This window comes from Homo sapiens, chromosome 4 (genome assembly GCF_000001405.40).
Source record: "Homo sapiens chromosome 4, GRCh38.p14 Primary Assembly".
Classification (NCBI taxonomy): domain Eukaryota; kingdom Metazoa; phylum Chordata; class Mammalia; order Primates; family Hominidae; genus Homo; species Homo sapiens.
In genome coordinates this window covers 102,915,980-102,936,658 of record NC_000004.12, presented here as the reverse complement: position 1 = coordinate 102,936,658, position 20,679 = coordinate 102,915,980, and the positions used below count along the sequence as shown (strand labels likewise).

At 38.9% G+C, this 20,679-nt stretch overlaps 1 protein-coding gene across 4 annotated transcripts in view; it reads left to right on the top strand.

Annotated features, from left to right (window-relative positions):
* Positions 1 to 20,679, top strand: part of SLC9B1 (solute carrier family 9 member B1) — a 134,657-nt gene that overhangs the window by 83,047 nt on the left and 30,931 nt on the right. For all 4 annotated transcript variants that reach the window (NR_047515.2, NR_047513.2, NM_001100874.3 and 1 more), the window contains one exon: positions 4,360 to 4,535. Coding sequence is in view for 2 of the 4 variants with exons in the window: in NM_001100874.3 (NP_001094344.2) it covers positions 4,360 to 4,535 (176 nt within the window). In the remaining 2 variants the exon portion in view is untranslated. The remainder of the gene's footprint in view (positions 1 to 4,359; positions 4,536 to 20,679) is intronic.

The following is a 20,679-nucleotide window of genomic DNA, read 5'->3' as shown; positions in this document are numbered from 1 at the left end:
TAAGATTCTTTTCTCAGCTTGGTCTGTTCTGCTGTTAGTACTTGTTATTGTATTATGAAATTCTTGAGGCGCATTTTTCAGCTCTATCAGTTTAGTTTGGTTCTTTCTTAAAATGCCTATTTCATCTTTCAGCTCTTATGTCATCTTATTGGATTCCTTAGATTATTTGGATTGGATTTTGACTTTCTTCTGAATCTCAATGATCTTTGTTTCTATCCAGATTCTGAATTCTATGTCTGTCATTTAATCCTGGTTAACAACCATTGTTAGAGAGTTAGTATGATTGCTTGAAGACAGGAAGACATTCTGGCTTTTTACATTGCCAGTTTTTGCACTGGTTCTTTCACATCTGTGTGGGCTAAGGTTCCTTTAATGTTTTGAGTCACTGTCCTTTGGATGGAGCTTTTTCCTTTTTTATATTCTTTAATGCCCTTGAGGGTTTGACTGTGGCACAAGGTAGGTTCAGTCAAATGGCTTCATTTCTGGAAGATTTCAGGGGGCAAAGGCTCAGCTCAGCACTCCTGAGCTGCATGCTCTAACTTTGCAGGGCTGGTACCATACCCACAGATTTGTTGTCTGGCCCTTCAGTGTTAAGCACTGAGGTGTTCCCAGTCCACTGGCAACAACACTCTGATGGGGTGTGCCAGCCAGAGTGCTTCATTGTAGTGATTGTAGCAAGGTCCCTACTCACACATATGTGCCAGCAGCAGCAGCACACAGCAGGTATGCCTGTGTTGGCAGGGGTGCAGTGCCGGCAGGTGTGGGATGGGGTTGTTCTGCATACTTGCATGGGTCAGCCAGGGCAATGGTGCTGTGGGGTGCACTCATGTGCCACTGGGGACAGAGTGGCAGCATCTTCGTGAGTTTTATGTTACCATTCTAGATCTTTGAAAATAATGTTCTGGACTTCTAACAAGTGTATTTGTGAACCCAGAGAAAAAAAAGAGTATTATTTTGTGCATTTTTACTTAATCATACCCAAGAAAATTTTACTTTACAATTTGTTCTTTTCACTTAACAATAGTCTTGAGGTTTATCCATCTCAAGATGGATACACACGTAGTTTATTCCTTTTAATTGTATAAGACTACATTGTATGTCAACAGCAGATTTTATTTACAATGTTATAACAAAAATAGCATTTTATTTGTCTCATTTTACTTAAATATAAGTTTGTCTAGAATAGTTACCTGGGTTATATGCATTTTTAGTTTGATATACACTGCCAAAATCCCTTCGGTATGGCCACTTTAATTTGCCCTAATACCAATAGCTTATGAGCATACCTGTTGTTCTTGAAAATCCTTGCAAATCCTTGATATTATTAAATTTTATAATGTTTTCACATCTGATAATTGAAAAAATGGCATATTTTTGTTGTTTTAATTTGCATTTCTGTGATTATTCACAAACTTGAATATCTTTTATATATGTGTTGTCCTTCAACTTTTCCTTATCTGTAACTAGCCTGTTCATATCCTTTGTCCATTTTTTTGTTGAGTCTTCAACTTCTTTATTAATTATATCTGTTATATGTATTTGTAAATTATATGTATTGCAAATATCACTAGATATTTAATTTTGTTTGTGATGATTTTTTTTCTCTCTAAGAAGTGTATTTTGTTATTTTCAACAGACAGAATTGCCAATACACAACACCATTCACTTGACTTTGAAAATGAAAAAGAAAAAAAGGGGGAGAAAGAGCAGAATTGCTTTTGAAGTAGTACTTTATTGTAGTACTTTTGAAGTTGCTTTTGAAGTACTACTTTAATATAATTGAATGTATCAAAATCTCTTTTTATGTCTAATGCCTTTGTATGTATCATTCAAAAGGTCCTTTTTACCTCATGATCACAAATATATTATTCTACATTTTCTTTTTTTTTTTTTTTGTGACAGAGTCTTCCTGTCACCCAGGCTGTAGTGCAGTGGCGTGATCTCAGCTCACTGCAACCTCCACCTCCCGGGTTCAAGTGATTCTCCTGCCTCAACCTTCCAAGTAGCTGGGACTACAGGCATGCACCACTGCACCCAGCTATTGGTTTCACAATGTTGGCCAGGCTGGTCTCAAACTCCTGATCTGTCCGCCTCAGCCTCCCAAAGTGCTGGGATTACAGGTGTGAGCCATCGCACCTAGCCCCCTACATTTTCTTATTACTACTTTTCCTTTTGAGCTTTTAACATTTATTATGTGTAAGGATCTATCTATATTCCTTTCCACATAAATAGTTATCTCAACACCATTTATGAAAGATTTCTTTCTTTCTCCCACTGATTTAAAATACCAATTGTATGATGTAACAAATCCCATAGATTTGTTTCCACACATTGTATTTTCTTTTCTTCCAATTTATTTTGTCTATTTATATGTCACTATTATTCAGTTTTAACTATTTTACCCTTACAAAAACAGTATCTTGTTTTCTTAAGTTTACTTGATCTTTTGTTCTAAGATCTTATTCTTCCAAATGAATTTTATAATCAGCTTGTCAAGCTCAGTAAAAATCCCTGCAAAGATTTTGATTGGTGTATCTCTGATTAATTTATTTGGGGGAGAGATTACATCTTTATATTATTGAGGCTTTGGCCGGGCATGGTGGCTCACACCTATAATCCCAGCACTTTGGGAGGCCAAGGTGGGCATATCACTTGAAGTCAGGAGTTCAAGACCAGCCTGGCCAAAATGGTGAAACACCGTATCTACTAAAAACACAAAAACTAGCCAGACGTGGTGTTGGGCGATGGTAAAATTGAGGCTTTTTAGTTCACACTTGTGAAATGTCTCTCTAAGTATTCAGGTATTATCTTAATTATTATATTATTATATTCACAATTTTTATAAAAGTATAGACTATCTTCACAGTTTTTTTCTTAGATATTTTGTGTTTTTAATTGATGTTATGGATTAAATTCTCTTTGATCACTTATTCCTGGGGAAGCCAGCTGCCATGTCCTGAGGCAGCCCTGTGGAGAAAACCCCATTGGAAAAAACTGAAGCCTGCAATAGCTACATGAGTAAACTTGGAAGCAGATCTTCTCCCACCCCACCCTACCTCATGGGAAATCTTAAGTGAAGGCATACAGCTAAGCCATGCCCAGATTCCTGACCCACAGAAGTCATAAGACAATAAATATTTGTTGTTTTAAGCTGCTATGTTTGGGGATGACTTGTTAAGCAAAATGAGAAAAATAATACAACAGGTGATTACAATGTGCAGCAGAGTTTAGGAACCACTGAACTAGACCAGTATGTGGTCTTAGAGAAGTCTAGTCTCTTCTTGAGCCCACAGGGAAATCTGTAGCATAAACTGCACCATAGAGGTTGTACAGCCAGAAGCAAATGGGCTAAACTATTAGACACTCACATCAGTCAGTCATTGGCAGATGCTGTCTGGAGGGAAAGTAGAGGGGTGCACAACCTCCCTAGTATTCCCAGGTAGGTGCTTGTCAGCAGGACAAGGGTTCTAGAAATCTGCAGATATTAGCAGCCAACAAGCAGCACTGGGAGATGTGTTCATTTACCAGGTCAATTCTGGCAGGAGCACCAAAAGCATTTCTACACAGGATATACTTCAGCCTTTATAAAGTAAATGTAGAAGAGATGAGGCGAAATTCTGGATAAGATATGTCAATAGAAGGTATTCGGAGCAGGAGCCTCCCCATTCCTCATGGGTGTCATCAACCACTCCAGAAATGTTCTCATTTGCCTTTGTAACTTAGGTGGCCACACTTGTTTTTTTGGGCAGACAACTCTGTTCCTTCCTTCCTTACTTACTTATTTACTCAAGAGGTAGGAAATGTGTGGAAGATAGATTTGTCTGACCATTCTTACAGTGGTACTCCAAATAATTAACTATTTGGTTTCCCCAGAGGTCTCTCCTGCTCCCAGCATCTGCCATTTCAGGGCTTGGAGCACTTTTAGAAGCACATGTATCTTTTGAGGCAATCTTATTTACACAGATTTTGGTTTATGGTTTCCTTTTTTCAATCCTAAATTGTCTGTCTCTTATCTTACTGGGATATACTTAGTTTCTTGTCCATTGCGGATTCACCTTTTGCTTTCTGGTTAGGTTATGAATTTTTCTATTACTTTTACATCTTCACTTCAAAGGATTTAGGAATAGAGGGAGAGGCTGCAACCTGTGTTCAGCCCAACATTTTAAACCACATCTGTATAAAATTTTAGCCAGCACTAAACAATGCATGAAAAGTTTTATCACCATTAAATTGCATTCACTCAAATTTGAAATTCTTCTAAACAATGTTTGTTATAAAGTTATTATAAACTACTTGTACTTATAAAACACTACTTGATTTAAAAGATGCTTTTAAATTAATTTTCATTCTTTCTTTCAGTTTTGTTCTAGGTGCTGTCTCTCCTGCTGTTGTTGTCCCTTACATGATGGTGCTGCAAGAAAATGGATATGGTGTTGAGGAAGGCATTCCAACCTTATTAATGGCTGCTAGCAGTATGGATGACATTCTGGCTATCACTGGATTCAATACATGCTTGAGCATAGTCTTTTCCTCAGGTAAACAAGAAAATATAACAACCACTAGATCATTCATGACCTTTTTTGTTACTTCTTTAAACAGGGTTTCTGGCTTTGCTTCTTCATTTATTAACCAAGACTGTTCAATTTAACATCTTTTTAATCTCCATAGAAAGCTCATTCTAGACCAAGGAAGATATTTCAGTGGCTTAAGATACCACTACTTAACACACATGATCTCATTTTAATAATCATGTGACAATTAATTTGATAAACCATATTATTACTATGTATCTGCTTATATTGCTTTGGAATTTTATCAGTTCTCATTAGAAAAAATTCAGCGGTATTATTTGTACTACTAATATTTTAATAGGCATTTTTGAAATGTGCCTTTTTGGCCATCCTAATAAACAACTGGTTGCTCTATTATAAGACAACCTAAACATACAGAGCTGGGTCAGCCATATGCCTTAATGGTAGTGTTAGGACAAGATCCTGCACCAGTTCTGATTCCAAGGTGATATCTGGTCTTGAATATCACTACAGAAATTGTGAAAGTAAACATTTCCACATTTAGTAATGCTTTAATTATCTGCAATGTTGAAATTGAGTCTTCTGCATTATTGAAGCACTAAAATATTTTTAAGTTGAAAAGTAATATATATAGTTTTATAGTTTCTCTTAAAATCAGAAAATATAAATAAATAAGAAAAAGAGGAAAAGTTAAAAAAATCTGCAGTAGTCACATCCAGAAGAAAAGAATCATTTCCTTCTGAACCTTTTGATATAAATCCACCCATATTCCCTTCCCTTCCCTTCTTCCCTTCTTCCTTTCCCTTTCCTTTCCCCTTCCCTTCCCTTCCCCCTCTCTCTCTGTCAAATATTCTTATAAAAATCAGTGAATATTGACCAATATGTTCTTTTTTTTTTTTTTGAGGCGGAGTCTTGCTCTGTCACCCAGGTTGGAGTGCAGTGGCACAATCTCGGCTCACTGCATGCTCTGCCTCCCGGGTTCACGCCATTCTCCTGCCTCAGCCTCCCAAGTAGTTGGGACTATAAGCACCCACCACCACGCCCGGCTAATTTTTTTTATATTTTTAGTAGAGACAGGGTTTCACCATGTTAGCCAGGATGGTCTCAATCTCCTGACCTCATGATCCGCCCGCCTCGGCCTCCCAAAGTGCTGGGATTACAGGCGTGAGACATCGCACCTGGCCTAATATGTTCTTATAACCTGAATTGTTTTACACTTAACTGTATATCACAAACATGTTTCTTTTCAGTAAATGTATTTGTATATCATTTTAATAGTTGTTTAGCTTAATGAAAGAGTATTCAATGTGCTGCATCATAATTACTTATCCTGTTCAAAATTAAACTTGACTCCAATATTTACTATTAAAATAATACTTAGTTGTGCTGCTATAAAAATTTTTTTTAATTAAAAAATTGGCCAGGCATGGTGGCTCATGCCTGTAATCCCAGCACTTTGGGAGGCCAAGAAGGGTGGATCACTTGAGATCAGGAGTTCAAGACCAGCCTGGCCAACCAACATGGTGAAACCCTGTCTCTACTAAAAATACAAAACTTAGCCAGGCATGGTGGTGGGCATCTGTAATCCCAGCTACTCAGGAGGCTGAAGCAGAAGAATCACTTGAACCCAGGAGGCGGAGGCCGTAGTGAGCTATCCAGCCTGGGCAACAGAGTGAGACACTGTCTCAAAAAAAATTTTTTTTTAATTTAAAAAATAATACTTAATTGAACATATAGAGAAATATTTGTACCTATTCTTCATATTTTCTTAAGCTTAAAAGTGTAATTGTTGATCTAAAAGATATCTACATTTATGAGTGTTCTGAAACAAATTGCCACAATATCATGTCCTACCAGGGTACATAAACTTGTCATTTCCTCTCACCTGTCTTCAAAACTTGGTAATACTAGCCTTTTTCATCTTTGCTAATTTGATAGGTGAAGGAGGGATCTCTATAAATGAAGTATTTTGAATACTAGTGCTGTTAAATATCCATGTTTATTAGTCATTGGCATTTTGTAAATTGCTTTTCTTGGAAGTCTTTTGCCTATTTCTTTTAGGTGGGTTCACCTTTTGTTCTTTTTGATTTGTCAAGATTCTGCATTAAATTGAGAATGAAAACCTTTGTTTTATATACTTTAGTTTTTTCAATTTGTAATTTGGCTTTTAATTTTCTCACTCTTTTTACCATTCAGAAGTTAAAGTTTTTTATTGTCAATTGTGAAAATCTTTTCCTTCATGATTGGTATCTGTCATTCTTTCAAAAAATACTGTTATCAGTCATGTTTCAAAAAAATATTTCCAGGCCGGGCCCAATGGCTCACGCCTATAATCCCAACACTTTGGGAGGCCAAAGTGGGTGGATCACTTGAGGACATGAGTTCAAGACCAGCCTGGCCAACATAGCAAAGCTCCATCTCTACTAAAAATACAAAAAGTTAGCTGGGTGTGGTGGCACAGGCCTGTAATCCCAGCTACTCAGGGGGCTGAGGCACAAGAATTGCTTGAACCCAAGAGGCAGAGGTTGCAGTGAGCCAAGATCACACCACTGCACTCCAGCCTGGGTGACAGGGGGAGACTGTCTGAAAAAAAGAAAAAAAAAATTCCTCTTCCTTTTGCCGGCTACTATGCCAAACACTGAGAATAAACAGTAGGCAACAACATTAGCTTTTATTGAATACTTGCTTGGCTCTTGTTCTAAGTTCCATATATGTCACCACTCATTTACAGGTAAGGAAACTGAGAAAGATGTTAAGTAATTTACTCAAGGTCAGAGATCCAGTAAGTAGGGGAGCCAAGATGCAAATCTGGCAGTCTGACTCCACACCCACACATTTAACTCTTCTCTTCTCCACTGCCTCCCAAGAAAACAGAGAGACAAGATCAAATGGTGCATGTTCTCAAGGAGCTTGTATATTAAAGAAAAATTACAAATGGGATGAATATTACATTGTGAAGATTAATATTAAGTAAGTGTCAACTTGATTGGATTGAAGGATCCAAAGTATTGTTCCCGGTTGTGTCTGTGAGGGTGTTGCCAAAGGAGATTAACATTTATTTAGTGGACTGGGAGAGGCAGATCCACCCTCAGTGTGGGTCGGCACCATAAAATCAGCTGCCAGCATGGCTAGAATAAAGCAGGCAGAAGAAGTTTAGGAGAAGCTGACTTGCTGAGCTTTCTGGCCCTCATCTTTCTCCCATGCTGGATGCTTCCTGCACTCAAATATCAGACTCCAGGTTCTTTGGCTTTTGGACTCTTGGACTTACTCCAGTTGTTTTCCAGGGACTCTCAGGCCTTCATCCAGAGACTCAAAGCTGGCCTGTCAGTTTCCCTACTTTTGAGGTTTTGGGACTCGGACTGAGCCAATACTAGATTCCTTGCCCCTCAACTTGCAGACGTGTTGTGGGACTTCACTTTGTGATGGTGTGATTCAATTCTCCTTAATAAACTCCCTTTCATACATACATATATCCTATTAGTTCTATCCCTCTAGAGAACCATGACTAATACAGATTTTGATACCAAGGTAATGGAGTAATGCTATAAAATACCTGAGAATGTGGAAGTGACTTTGGAGCTGTGTAATGTGCAGAGGGTGGAACAGTTGGGAGGACTCAGAAGAAGACCAGAAGATGTGGGAAAGTTTGGAACTGCCTAGAGACTTGTTGAATGGCTTTGACCGAACTGCTGATAGTGACTTGGACAGTGAAGTCCAGGCTGAGGAGGTCTGAGATGGAGATAAAGAACTTGTTGGGAACTGAAGTAAAGGTCACTCTTGCTATGCTTTAGCAAAGAGGCTGGTGGCATTTTGCCCCTGCCCTAGAGATTTATGGAACTTTGAAACTGAGAGAGATGATTGAGGACATCTGGTAGAAGAAACTTCTTTTTTTGTTGGTGTTGTTATACCTTAAGTTCTAGGGTACAGGTGCACAACATGCAGGTTTGATACATAGGTATACATGTGCCGTGTTGGTTTGCTGCACCCATCAACTCATCATTTACATTAGGTATTTCTCCTAATGCTCTCCCTCCCCCAGCCCTCCACCCCCCGACAGGCCCCAGTGTGTGATGTTCCCAGCCCTGTGTCCAAGTGATCTCATTGTTCAATTCCCACCTATGAGTGAGAACATGCGGTGTTTGGTTTTCTGTCCTTGTGATAGTTTTGCTGAGAGTGATGGTTTCCAGCTTCATCTATCTCCCTGCAAAGGACATGAACTCATCCTTTTTTATGATTGCATTAGTATTCCATGGTGTATATGTGTCACGTGTCTTAATCCAGTCCATCATTGATGGACATTTGGGTTGGTTACAAGTCTTTGCTATTGTGAATAGTGCCGAAATAAACATACATGTGCATGTGTCTTTATAGTAGCATGATTTAAAATCCTTTGGGTATATACCCAGTAATGGGATTGCCGGGTCAAATGGTAATTCTAGTTCTATATCCTCGAGGAATCGCCACAATGTCTTCCACAATGGTTGAACTAATTTACACTCCCATCAACAGTGTAAAAGTGTTCCTATTTCTCCATATGCTCTCCAGCATCTGTTGTTTCCTGACTTTTTAATGATTGCCATTCTAACTGGCATGAGATGATATCTCATTGTGGTTTTGATTTGCATTTCTCTGATGACCAGTGATGATGAGCATTTTTTCATGTGTCTGTTAGCTGCATAGATGTCTACTTTGGAGAAGTGTCTATTCATATCTTTGCCCACTTTTTGATGGTATTGTTTTTTTCTTGTAAATTTGTTTGAATTCTTTCTTTGTCAAATGGGTAGATCGCAATTTGTCTCCCATTCTGTAGGTTGCCTGGTTCACTCTGATGGCAGTTTCTTTTGCTATGCAGAAGCTCTTTAGTTTAGTTAGATTCCATTTCTCAATTTTGGCTTCTGTTGCCATTACTATTGGTGTTTTAGTCATGAAGACCTCGCCCATGCCTATGGCCTGAATGGTATTGCCTAGGTTTTCTTCTAGGGTTTTTATGGTTTTAGGTCTAACATTTAAGTCTTTAATCCATCTTGAATTAATTTTTGTATAAGGTATAAGGAAGGGATCCAGTTTCAGCTTTCTACATATGGCTAGCCAGTTTTCCCAGCATCATTTATTAAATAGGCAATCCTTTCCCCATTTCTTGTTTTTCTCAGTTTTGTCAAAGATCAGATGGCTGTAGATGTGTGGTCTTATTTCTGAGGCCTCTGTTCTGTTCCATTGGTCTATATATCTGTTTTGGTACCAGTACCATGCTGTTTTGGTTAGTGCAGCCTTGTAGTACAGTTTGAAGTCAGGTAGTGTGATGCCTCCAGCTTTGTTCTTTTTGCTTAGGATTGTCTTGGCAATGCAGGCTCTTTTTTGGTTCCATATGAACTTTAAAGCAGTTTTTTTTCCAATTCTGTGAAGAAAGTCATTAGTAGCTTGATGGGGATAGTATTGAATCTATAAATTACTTCGGGCAGTATGGCCATTTCCATGATATTGATTCTTCCTATCCATGAGCATGGAATATTCTTCAATTTGTTTGTGTCCTCTTTTATTTCGTTGAGCAGTGGTTTGTAGTTCTCCTTGAAGAGGTCCTTCACAACCCTTGTAAGTTGGATTCCTAGGTATTTTATTCTCTTTGTAGCAATTGTGAATGGGAGTTCACTCATGATTTGGCTCTCTGTTTGTCTATTAATGGTGTATAGGAATGCTTGTGATTTTTGCACATTGATTTTGTATCCTGAGACTTTGCTGAAGTTGCTTATCAGCTTAAGGAGATTTTGGGCTGAGATGATGGGGTTTTCTAAATATACAATCATGTCATCTGCAAACAGGGACAATTTGACTTCCTCTTTTCCTAACTGAATACCATTTATTTCTTTCTCCTGCCTGATTGCACTGGTCAGAACTTCCAACACCATGTTGAATAGGAGTGGTGAGAGAGGGCATCCTTGTCTTGTGCCGGTTTTCAAAAGGAATGCTTCCAGTTTTTGCCCATTCAGTATGATATTGGCTGTGGGTTTGTCATAAATAGCTCTTATTATTTTGAGATACGTCCCATCAATACCTAGTTTATTGAGAGTTTTTAGCATGAAGGAGTGTTGAATTTTGTCAAAGGCCTTTTCTGCATCTATTGAGATAATCATGTGGTTTTTGTCTTTGGTTCTGTTTATGTAATGGATTATGTTTATTGAGTTACATATGTTGAACCAGCCTTGCATCCCAGAGATGAAGCCGACTTGATCGTGGTGGATAAGCTTTTTGATGTGCTGCTGGATTCGGTTTGCCAGTATTTTATTGAGGATTTTTGCATCGATGTTCATCAGGGATATTGGTCTAAAATTCTCTTTTTTTGTTGTGTCTCTGCCAGGCTTTGGTACCAGGATGATGCTGGCCTCATAAAATGAGTTAGGGAGGATTCCCTTTTTTCTTTCTTTTTTTTTTTGGACAAAAGAAGAAGTGTTTAATTTTTTTGATGTTTTCAATGTTGATATTTTTTCCAAGAAGTAGAGAAGTATCTCTGGATGGCTATCTAAAATTTATAATTTTTGTACAGATATGGTATATAGGACAGTGTCATAGTTTTTTTTGTTATTATACTTTAAGTTCTAGGGTACATGTGCACAACATGCAGGTTTGTTACATATGCATACATGTGCCATATTGGTGTGCTGCACCCATTAACTCGTCATTTACATTAGATATATCTCCTAATGCTATCCCCTCCCTCCCCACACTCCATGACAGGCCCCAGTGTGTGATGTTCCCCACCCTGTGTCCAAGTGTTCTCATTGTTCAATTCCCACCTATGAGTGAGAACATGCGGTGTTTGGTTTTCTGTCCTTGTGATAGTTTTCTCAGAATGATGGTTTCTAGCTTCATCCATGTCCTTATAAAGGACAGGAACTCATCCTTTTTATGGCTGCATAGTATTCCATGGTGTATATGTGCCACATTTTCTTAATCCAGTCTATCATTGATGGGCATTTGGGTTGGTTCCAAGTCTTTACTATTGTGAATAGTGCCACAATAAACATACGTGTGCATGTGTCTTTATAGCAGCATGATTCATAATCCTTTGGGTATATGACCAGTAATGGGATGGCTGGGTGAAATGGTATTTCTAGTTCTAGATCCTTGAGGAATCGCCACACTGTCTTCTACAATGATTGAACTAGTTTACACTCCCACCAACAGTGTAAAAGCATTCCTATTTCTCCATAACCTCTCCAGCACCTGTTGTTTCCTGACTTTTTAATGATCACCATTCTAATTGGTGTGAGATGGTATCTCATTGTGGTTTTGATTTGCATTTCTCTGATGGCCAGTGATGATGAGCATTTTTTCATGTGTCTGTTGGCTGCATAGATGTCTTCTTTTGAGAAGTGTCTGTTCATATCCTTTGCCTACTTTTTGATGGGGTTTGATTTTTTCATATAAATTTGTTTAAGTTATTTGTAGATTCTGGATATTAGCCCTTTGTCAGATGGGTAGATTGTAAAAATTTTCTCCCATTCTGTAGGTTGTCTGTTCACTCTGATGGTAGTTTCTTTTGCTGTGCAGAAGCTCTCTAGTTTAATTAGATCCCATTTGTCAATTTTGGCTTTTGTTGCCATTGCTATTGGTGTTTTAGTCATTAATTCTTTGCCCATGCCTATGGCCTGAATGGTATTGCCTAGGTATTCTTCTAGGGTTTTTATGGTTTTAGGTCTAACATGTAAGTCTTTAATCCATCTTGAATTAATTTTTATATAAAGTGTAAGGAAGGGATCCAGTTTCAGTTTTCTACGTATTGCTAGCCCGTTTTCCCAGCACCATTTATTAAATAGGGAATCCTTTCCCCATTTCTCGTTTATGTCAGGTTTGTCAAAGATCAGATGGTTGTAGATGTGTCGTATTATTTCTGAGGGCTCTATTCTGTTCCATTGGTCTATATCTCTGCTTTGGCACCAGTACCATGCTGTTTTGGTTACTGTAGCCTTGTAGTGTAGTTTGAAGTCAGGTAGTGTGATGCCTCCAGCTTTGTTCTTTTGGCTTAAGACTGTCTTGGCAATGCAGGTTCTTTTTTGGTTCCATATGAACTTGAAAGTAGTTTTTTCCAATTCTGTGAAGAAAGTCATTGGTAGCTTGATGGGGATGGCATTGAATCTATAAATTACCTTTGGCAATATGGCCATTTTCACAATATTGATTCTTCCTATCCATGAGCATGGAATGTTCTTCCATTTGTTTGTGTCCTCTTTTATTTCGTTGAGAAGTGGTTTGTAGTTCTCCTTGAAGAGGTCCTTCATTTCCCTTGTAAGTTGGATTCCTAGGTATTTTATTCTCTTTGAAGCAATTGTGAATGGGAGTTCACTCATGATTTGGCTCTCTGTTTGTTATTGGTGTATAAGAATGCTTGTGATTTTTACACGTTGATTTTGTATCCTGAGACTTTGCTGAAGTTGCTTAGCTTAAGGAGATTTTGGGCTGAGATGATGGGGTTTTCTAAATATACAATAATGTCATCTGCAAACAGGGACAATTTGACTTCCTCTTTTCCTAATTGAATACCCTTTATTTCATTCTCTTCCCTGATTGCCCTGGCCAGAACTTCCAAGACTATGTTGAATAGGAGTGATGAGAGAGAGCATCCTTGTATTGTGCCAGTTTTCAAAGGGAATGCTTCCAGTTATTGTCCATTCAGTATGATATTGGCTGTGGGTTTGTCATAAATAGCTCTTATTATTTTAAGATACGTCCCATCAATACCTAGTTTATTGAGAGTTCTTAGCATGAAGGGCTGTTGAATTTTGTCAAAGGCCTTTTCTGCATCTATTAAGATAATCATGTGGTTTTTGTCTTTGGTTCTGCTTATATGATGGATTACATTTATTGATTTGTGTATGTTGAACCAGCCTTGCATCCCAGGGATGAAGCCAACTTGATCGTGGTGGATAAGCTTTTTGATGTGCTGCTGGATTCAGTTTGTCAGTATCTTATTGAGGATTTTTGTATCAATGTTCATAGGGATATTGGTCTAAAATTCCCTTTTTTGTTGTTGTTGTGTCCCTGCCAGGCTTTGGTATCAGGATGATGTTGGCCTCATAAAATGAATTAGGGAGGATTCTCTCTTTTTCTATTGATTGGAATAGTTTCAGAAAGAATGGTACCAGCTCCTCTTTGTGCCTCTGGTAGAATTCAGCTGTGAATCCATCTGGTCCTGGACTTTTTTTTTGGTTGGTAGGCTATTAATTATTGCCTCAATTTCAGAGCCTGTTATTGGTCTATTCAGAGATTCAACTTCTTCCTGGTTTAGTCTTGGAAGGGTGTATGTGTCCCAGAATTTATCCATTTCTTCTAGATGTTGTAGTTTATTTGCATAGAGGTGTTTATAGTATTCTCTGATGGTAGTTTGTATTTCCATGGGCTCAGTGGTGATATCCCCTTTATCATTTTTATTGCATCTATTTGATTCCTCTCTCTTTTCTTCTTTATTAGGCTTGCTAGCAGTCTGTCAATTTTGTTGATCTTTTCAAAAAACCAGCTCCTGGATTCATTGACTTTTTGAAGGGTTTTTTGTGTCTGTATCTCCTTCAGCTCTGCTCTGATCTTATTTTTTGCCTTCTGCTGGCTTTTGAATGTGTTTGCTCTTGCTTCTCTAGTTCTTTTAATTGTGATGTTAAGGTGTCAATTTTAGATCTTTCCTGCTTTCTCTTCTGGGCATTTAGTGCTATAAATTTCCCTCTACACACTGCTTTAAATGTGTCCCAGAGATTCTGGTACATTGTGCCTTTGTTCTCATTGGTTTCAAAGAACATCTTTATTTCTGCCTTCATTTTGTTATTTACCCAGTAGTCATTCAGGAGCAAATTGTTCAGTTCCATGTAGTTGTTCAGTTTTGAGGGAGCTTCTTAATCCTAAGTTCTAATTTGATTGCACTGTGGTCTGAGAGACAGTTTGTTGTGATTTCTGTTCTTTTACATTTGCTGACTAGTGCTTTACTTCCAATTATGTGGTCAATTTTAGAATAAGTGTGATGTGGTGCTGAGAAGAATGTATACTCTGTTGATTTGGGGTGGAGAGTTCTGTAGATATCTATTAGGTCTGTTTGTTGCAGAGCTGAGTTCAGGTCCTGGATATCTTTGTTAACCTTCTGTCTTCTTGATCTTTCTAATATTGACAGTGGGGTGTGAAATTCTCCCATTATTATTGTGTGGGAGTCTAAGTCTCTTTGTAAGTCTCTAAGGACCTGCTTTATGAATCTGGGTGCTCTTGTATTGGGTGCATATATATTTAGGATAGTTAGCTCTTCTTGTTGAATTGATCCCTTTACCATTATGTAATGGCCTTCTTTGTCTCTTTTGATCTTTGTTGGTTTAAAGTCTGTTTTATCAGAGACTAGGATTGCAACCCCTGCTATTTTTTGCTTTCCATTTGTTTGGTAGATCTTCCTCCATCCCTTTATTTTGAGCCTATGTGTGTCTCTGCACGTTAGATGGGTCTCCTGAATACAGCACACTGATGGGTCTTGACTCTTTATCCAGTTTGCCAGTCTGTGTCTTTTAATTGGGGCATTTAGCCCATTTACGTTTATGGTTAATATTGTTATGTGTGAATTTGATCCTGTTATTATGATAGTTGCTGGTTATTTGCCCGTTAATTGATGCAGTTTCTTCCTAGCATTGATGGTCTTTACAGTTTGGCCTGTTTTTGCCCTGGCTGGTACCGGGTGTTTCTTTCCATGTTTAGTGCTTCCTTCAGGAGCTCTTGTAAGGCAGGCCTGGTGGTGACAAAATCTCTCAGCATTTGCTTGTCTGTAAAGGATTTTATTTCTCCTTCACTTATGAAGCTTAGTTTGGCTGGATATGAAATTCTGAGTTGAAAATTCTTTTCTTTAAGAGTGTTGAATATTGGCCCCTACTTACTTCTGGCTTGCAGGGTTTCTGCTGAGAGATCCACTGTTAGTCTGATGGGCTTCCCTTTCTGGCTAACCTGACCTTTCTCTCTGGGTGCCCTTAACACTTTTTCCTTCATTTCAACCTTGGTGAATCTGATAAGTATGTTTCTTGGAATTGCTCTTCTCAAGGAGTATTTTTGTGGTGTTCTCTGTATTTCCTGAATTTGAATGTTGGCCTGCCTTGCTAGGTTGGGGAAGTTCTCCTGGATAATATCCTGAAGAGTGTTTTCCAACTTGGTTCCATTCTCCTCATCACTTTCAGGTACACCAATCAAATGTAGATTTGGTCTTTTCACATAGTCCCATATTTCTTGGAGGCTTTCTTCATTTCTTTTTACTCTTGTTTCTCTAACCTTGTCTTCTCACTTTATTTCATTTATTTGATCTTCAATCACTGATACCCTTTCTTCCACTTGATTGAATCGGCTATTGAAGCTTGTGCATGTGTCACAAAGTTCTCGTGCCAAGGTTTTCAGCTCCATCAGGTCACTTAAGGTCTTCTCTACACTGTTTATTCTTGTAAGCCATTCATCTAATCTTTTTTCAAGGTTTTTACCTTCCTTGCGATGGGTTCCAACATCCTCCTTTAGCTCGGAGAAGTTTGTTATTACCAACCTTCTGAAGCCTACTTCTGTCAACTCGTCAAAGTCATTCTCCATCCAGCTTTGTTCCATTGCTGACAAGGAGCTGCGATCCTTTGGAGGAGAAGAGGTGCTCTGATTTTTAGAATTTTCAGCTTTTCTGCTCTGGTTTATCCCTATCCTTTTGGTTTTATCTACCTTTGTTCTTTGACATTGTTGACCTACAGATGGGGTTTTGGTGTAGATGATCTTTTGGTTAATGTTGATGCTATTCCTTTCTGTTTGTTAGTTTTCCTTCTAACAGTCAGGACCCTCAGCTGCAAGTCTGTTGGAGTTTGCTGGAGTTCCACTCCAGACCCTGTTTGCCTGAGTATCACCAGTGGAGGCTGCAGAACAGCAAATATTGCTGCCCGATCCTTCCTCTGGAAGCTTCGTCCAAGAGGGGCATCCGCCTAAATGAGGTGTCTGTCAGCCCCTACTGGCAGGTGTGTCCCAGTTAGGCTACACAGGGGTCAGGGACCCACTTGATGAGGCAGTCTGTCCATTCTCAGAACTCAAACGCCATGCTGGGAAAACCACTGCTCTCTTCAGAGCTGTCAGACAGGGACGTTTAAGTTTGCAGAAGTTGCTGCCTTTTGTTCAGCTATCCCTGCCCACAGAGGTGGAGTCTAGAGGCAATAGGCCTTGTTGAGCTGCAGTGGGCTCCACCCAGTTCAAGCTTCCCAGCCGCTTTGTTTACCTACTTAAGCCTCAGCAATGGTGGACGGCCCTCCCCCAGCCAGGCTGCCACCTCGCAGATGGATCTCAGACTGTTGCGCTAGTAGTGAGCAAGGCTCCATGGGTGTGGGACCCGCTGAGCCAGGCACGGGAGAGAATCATCTTGTCTGCTAGTTGCTAAGACCTTGGGAAAAGTGCAGTATTTGGGCAGGAGTGCCCTGTTTTTCCAGGTAGTCTGTCACGGCTTCCCTTGGCTAGGAAAGGGAAATCCCCCAACCCCTTGTGCTTCCCGGGTGAGGTGATGCCCCACCCTGCTTCAGCTCACCCTCTGTGGGCCTGCACCCACTCTCCAACCAGTCCCAATGAGATGAACCAGGTACCTCAGTTGGAAGTGCAGAAATCACCTGTCTTCTGCGTCGATCATGCTGGGAGCTGCAGACCGGAACTGTTCCTATTTGGCCATCTTGGAACCCACCCAGGACATCTGGTAGAAGAAATTTCTAAGCAGCAGAGTGTTCAGTTTATGACCTGAGTGCTCTTAAAAGTGTTCAGTTTTATGCATTCACAAAAATATGGTTTGGAATTGGAACTTATGTTTAAAAGGGAGACAGAGCATAAAAGTTTGGAAGATTTGCAGCCTTATGATGTGATAGAAAAGAAAAGCCCATTTTCTGGGGAGAAATTCAAGCTGACTGCAGAAATTTGCAGAAGTAACAAGGAGCCGAATGTTAATTGCCAAGATAATGGGGAAATTGTCTCCAGGGTATGTCAGAGTTCTTCACAACAGCCCCTCCCGTCACAGGGTTGGAGGCCTAGGAGGGAAAAAATGGTTTTGTGGGCCAGGCCCAGAGCTTTGCTGCTCTGTGCAGTCTTGGGACTGCACTATGTCCCAGCCATGGCTAAAAGGAGCCAACATACAGCTCAGGCTATTGCTTCAGAGAGTTCAATCCCCAAGCCTTGGCAGCTGCCACATAGTGTCGGGTTGATATGCTAGTTGGCCATTTGTATTTTTTTTTGGAAAAAATGTCTGTTCAAGTCTATCTTAGTCCATTCCTGCTGCTATAACAAAATACCTTAGGCTGGTAATTTATGAACAACAGAAATTTATTTCTTGCGTTCTGGAATGTGAGAAGTCCAAGATTTAGGCTACAACAGACTCAGTGACTGGTGAGGTCACTATATTCACTATAGATAGCACCTTCTCTTTGTCCTCACATGTTCAAAAGGGAAAGTAAACTCCCTTAAGCCTCTTTTATAAAGGCCCTAGTCCCATTTCTGAGGGCTATGACTTCATGAACTAATCATCTCCAAAATGCCCCACCTCTTAATATTATCACATTGAATATTAGGCTCCAGCATATGAATATTGGGAGAACATAAACATTTGGACCATAGCAAAGTCAACTGACCGTTTCTCATTATGTTGTTTTGTTATTGAGTTGTTGTTCTGTATATATTTTAGATATTAACCCCTTATCAGGTATTTGGTTTGCTGGGAGGTTTTTGATTCCTGATTCAGTTACTAGTTATAGGTCTATTAAGATTTTTTATTTTGTGACTTAGTCTTGGTAACTTGCATGTTACTAGGAATCTGTTCATTTCTCCTAGGTTATCCAACTTGTCAGTATATAATCATTCATAGTAGACTCTTAGAATCCTTTTTATTTCTGTAATATCTGTTGCAATGTCTTCTCTTTTGTTCCTAAAAGAAGTTGAGTCTTCTTTATTTTTTTTCTTAAATATTCTAGCTGATTATTTGTCAATTTTGTTGAACTTTGAAACAACTACTAGTTTCATTGGGTTTTTTTTTTCTCTAGCCTTTTTTTTTTTTTTTTTTTTGAGATGGAGTTTTGCTCTTATTGCCCAGGCTGGAGTGCAGTGGCACGATCTCAGCTCAGTGCAGCCTCTGCCTCCCGGTTCAAGTGACTCTCCTGCCTCAGCCTCCAGAGTAGCTGGGATTACAGGCATGCACCACCATGCCTGGCTAATTTTGTATTTTTTAGTAGTGACAGGTTTCTCCATGTTGCTCAGGCTGGTCTCAAACTCCTGATCTCAGGTGATCTGCCTGCCTCGGCCTCCCAAAGTGCTGGGATTACAGTCGTGAGCCATTGCACCCGGCCTTCTGCTCTAGACTTTATTATTTCCTTCCTTTTGCTAACATTGGATTGAGTTCTTCTTTTTCCAGTTTCTTGAGGTGTAAAGCTAAGTTGCTTATTTTAGATCTTTCTTCTTTTTTAAGGTAGGTAGTTAGATATATAAACTGTCCTCTTCATATTCATTTTGCTGCATCCCACAAGCTTTGGAATGTTGTGTTTCCATTTTTATTTGTCTCGAGACATTTTCTAATTTTCCTTGTGACTTATTCTTTGACTATGTATTAATCAGAGTTCTCCAGAGGGTCAGAACCAATAGGAGATATAGATATAGATATAGATATAGATATAGATATAGATATAGATATAGATATAGATATAGATACATGCATATAAAAGAGAATATATTTACATATATATGAAATATAATTTATTAAGGAGAATTGGCTCACATAATTACAAAGGCAAAGTCCCACAATAGGCCATCTATAAGCCGGAAAATGAGAGAAGCCTAAAGCATGGCTCCCAAGGAAGCCAGTGACATGGCTCAGTCCAAATTTGAAAGTCTCAAAACCAGGGAAGCTGACAGTGCAGCCACTAGTCTGAGGCCAAAGGCCTGAGAGCTCCCAAAAGGCTGCTGATGCAAGTTCCAGGGTCCAAAGGCAAAAGAACCTAGAGTTTGATGTGCAAGGGCAAGAGGAGAAAAAGGCATACTGCTCTGGAAGAGAGAGAAAGTGCATAAAAAAGAAATCCAAGCAAGCTGAATGTTCCCATTCTTCTGCCTTTTTGTTCTAGCCACACTTGCAACCAATTGCATGATGCCTACCCACAGTGAGGATGGGTCTTTCTCTCTCAGTCCACTAACTCATCCATCATTCTCCTGTGGCAGCACCCTCACAGATATACCCTCACTCAGTGCTTCATCAGGCATCTAAGCATCCCTCAATCAAATTGACAATTAATATTAACCATACAGGCCAATTGGTTAACAGAGTATATTTTTGTAATTTCCACATATTTATTACTTTTCCTTTTTCCTTCTGCTATGAATTTCTAATTTCATTTAATGTGGTCAGAAAAGATACTTGGTATGAGTTCAGTTTTCTTAAATTTTTAAAAACTTGTTTGTGGACTAGCATGCCATTTATCCTGGAAAAGTCTTGGTATGTACTTGAGAAGAAAGTGTATTTTGCTATTATTGGGTGAAGTGTTCTGTATATGTCAGATAGGTCCAATTGGTCTACAGTGTTGTTCAAGTTCTCTGTTTTCCAGTTGATCTTCTGTCTGGTTATTGTATCCATAATTGAAAGTGGGATATTGAAGTTTTCTGTTATTATGATGTTGTTATCTATGTTACCCCTCAATTCTGTCTATGTTGGCTTCATATATTTAGATGCTGTACTGTTAGTTGCATATATATTTATAATTGCTATATCTTCTTGGTCAATTGGCCCTTTTATTATTATGTAATATCCTTGTCTCTTGTGCTATTATTTGACTTAAACTCTATTTTGTCTAAGTATGGCCATCGTTGTTCTCTTTTGGTTACCAACTGCATTGAATATCTTTTTCCATCCTTTCACTTTCAACCTTTGTGTGTCTTTAGATCTAATGTAAGTCTCTTGCATATAGTATATATTTAGATTTTTTTAAATCCATTTGGCCAATCTCTGTCTTTTGATTGGAAAATTAGCCTATTTGCATTTAAAGTAGTTACTGATAGGGAGGGGCTTACTATTGTCATTTTGTTTATTGTTTTATGTATGTCTTGCAGCTATTTTTTTCCACTTTTCCTCTCTTCCTGCCTCCCTTTATGTTTCACTGATTTCTTTTTT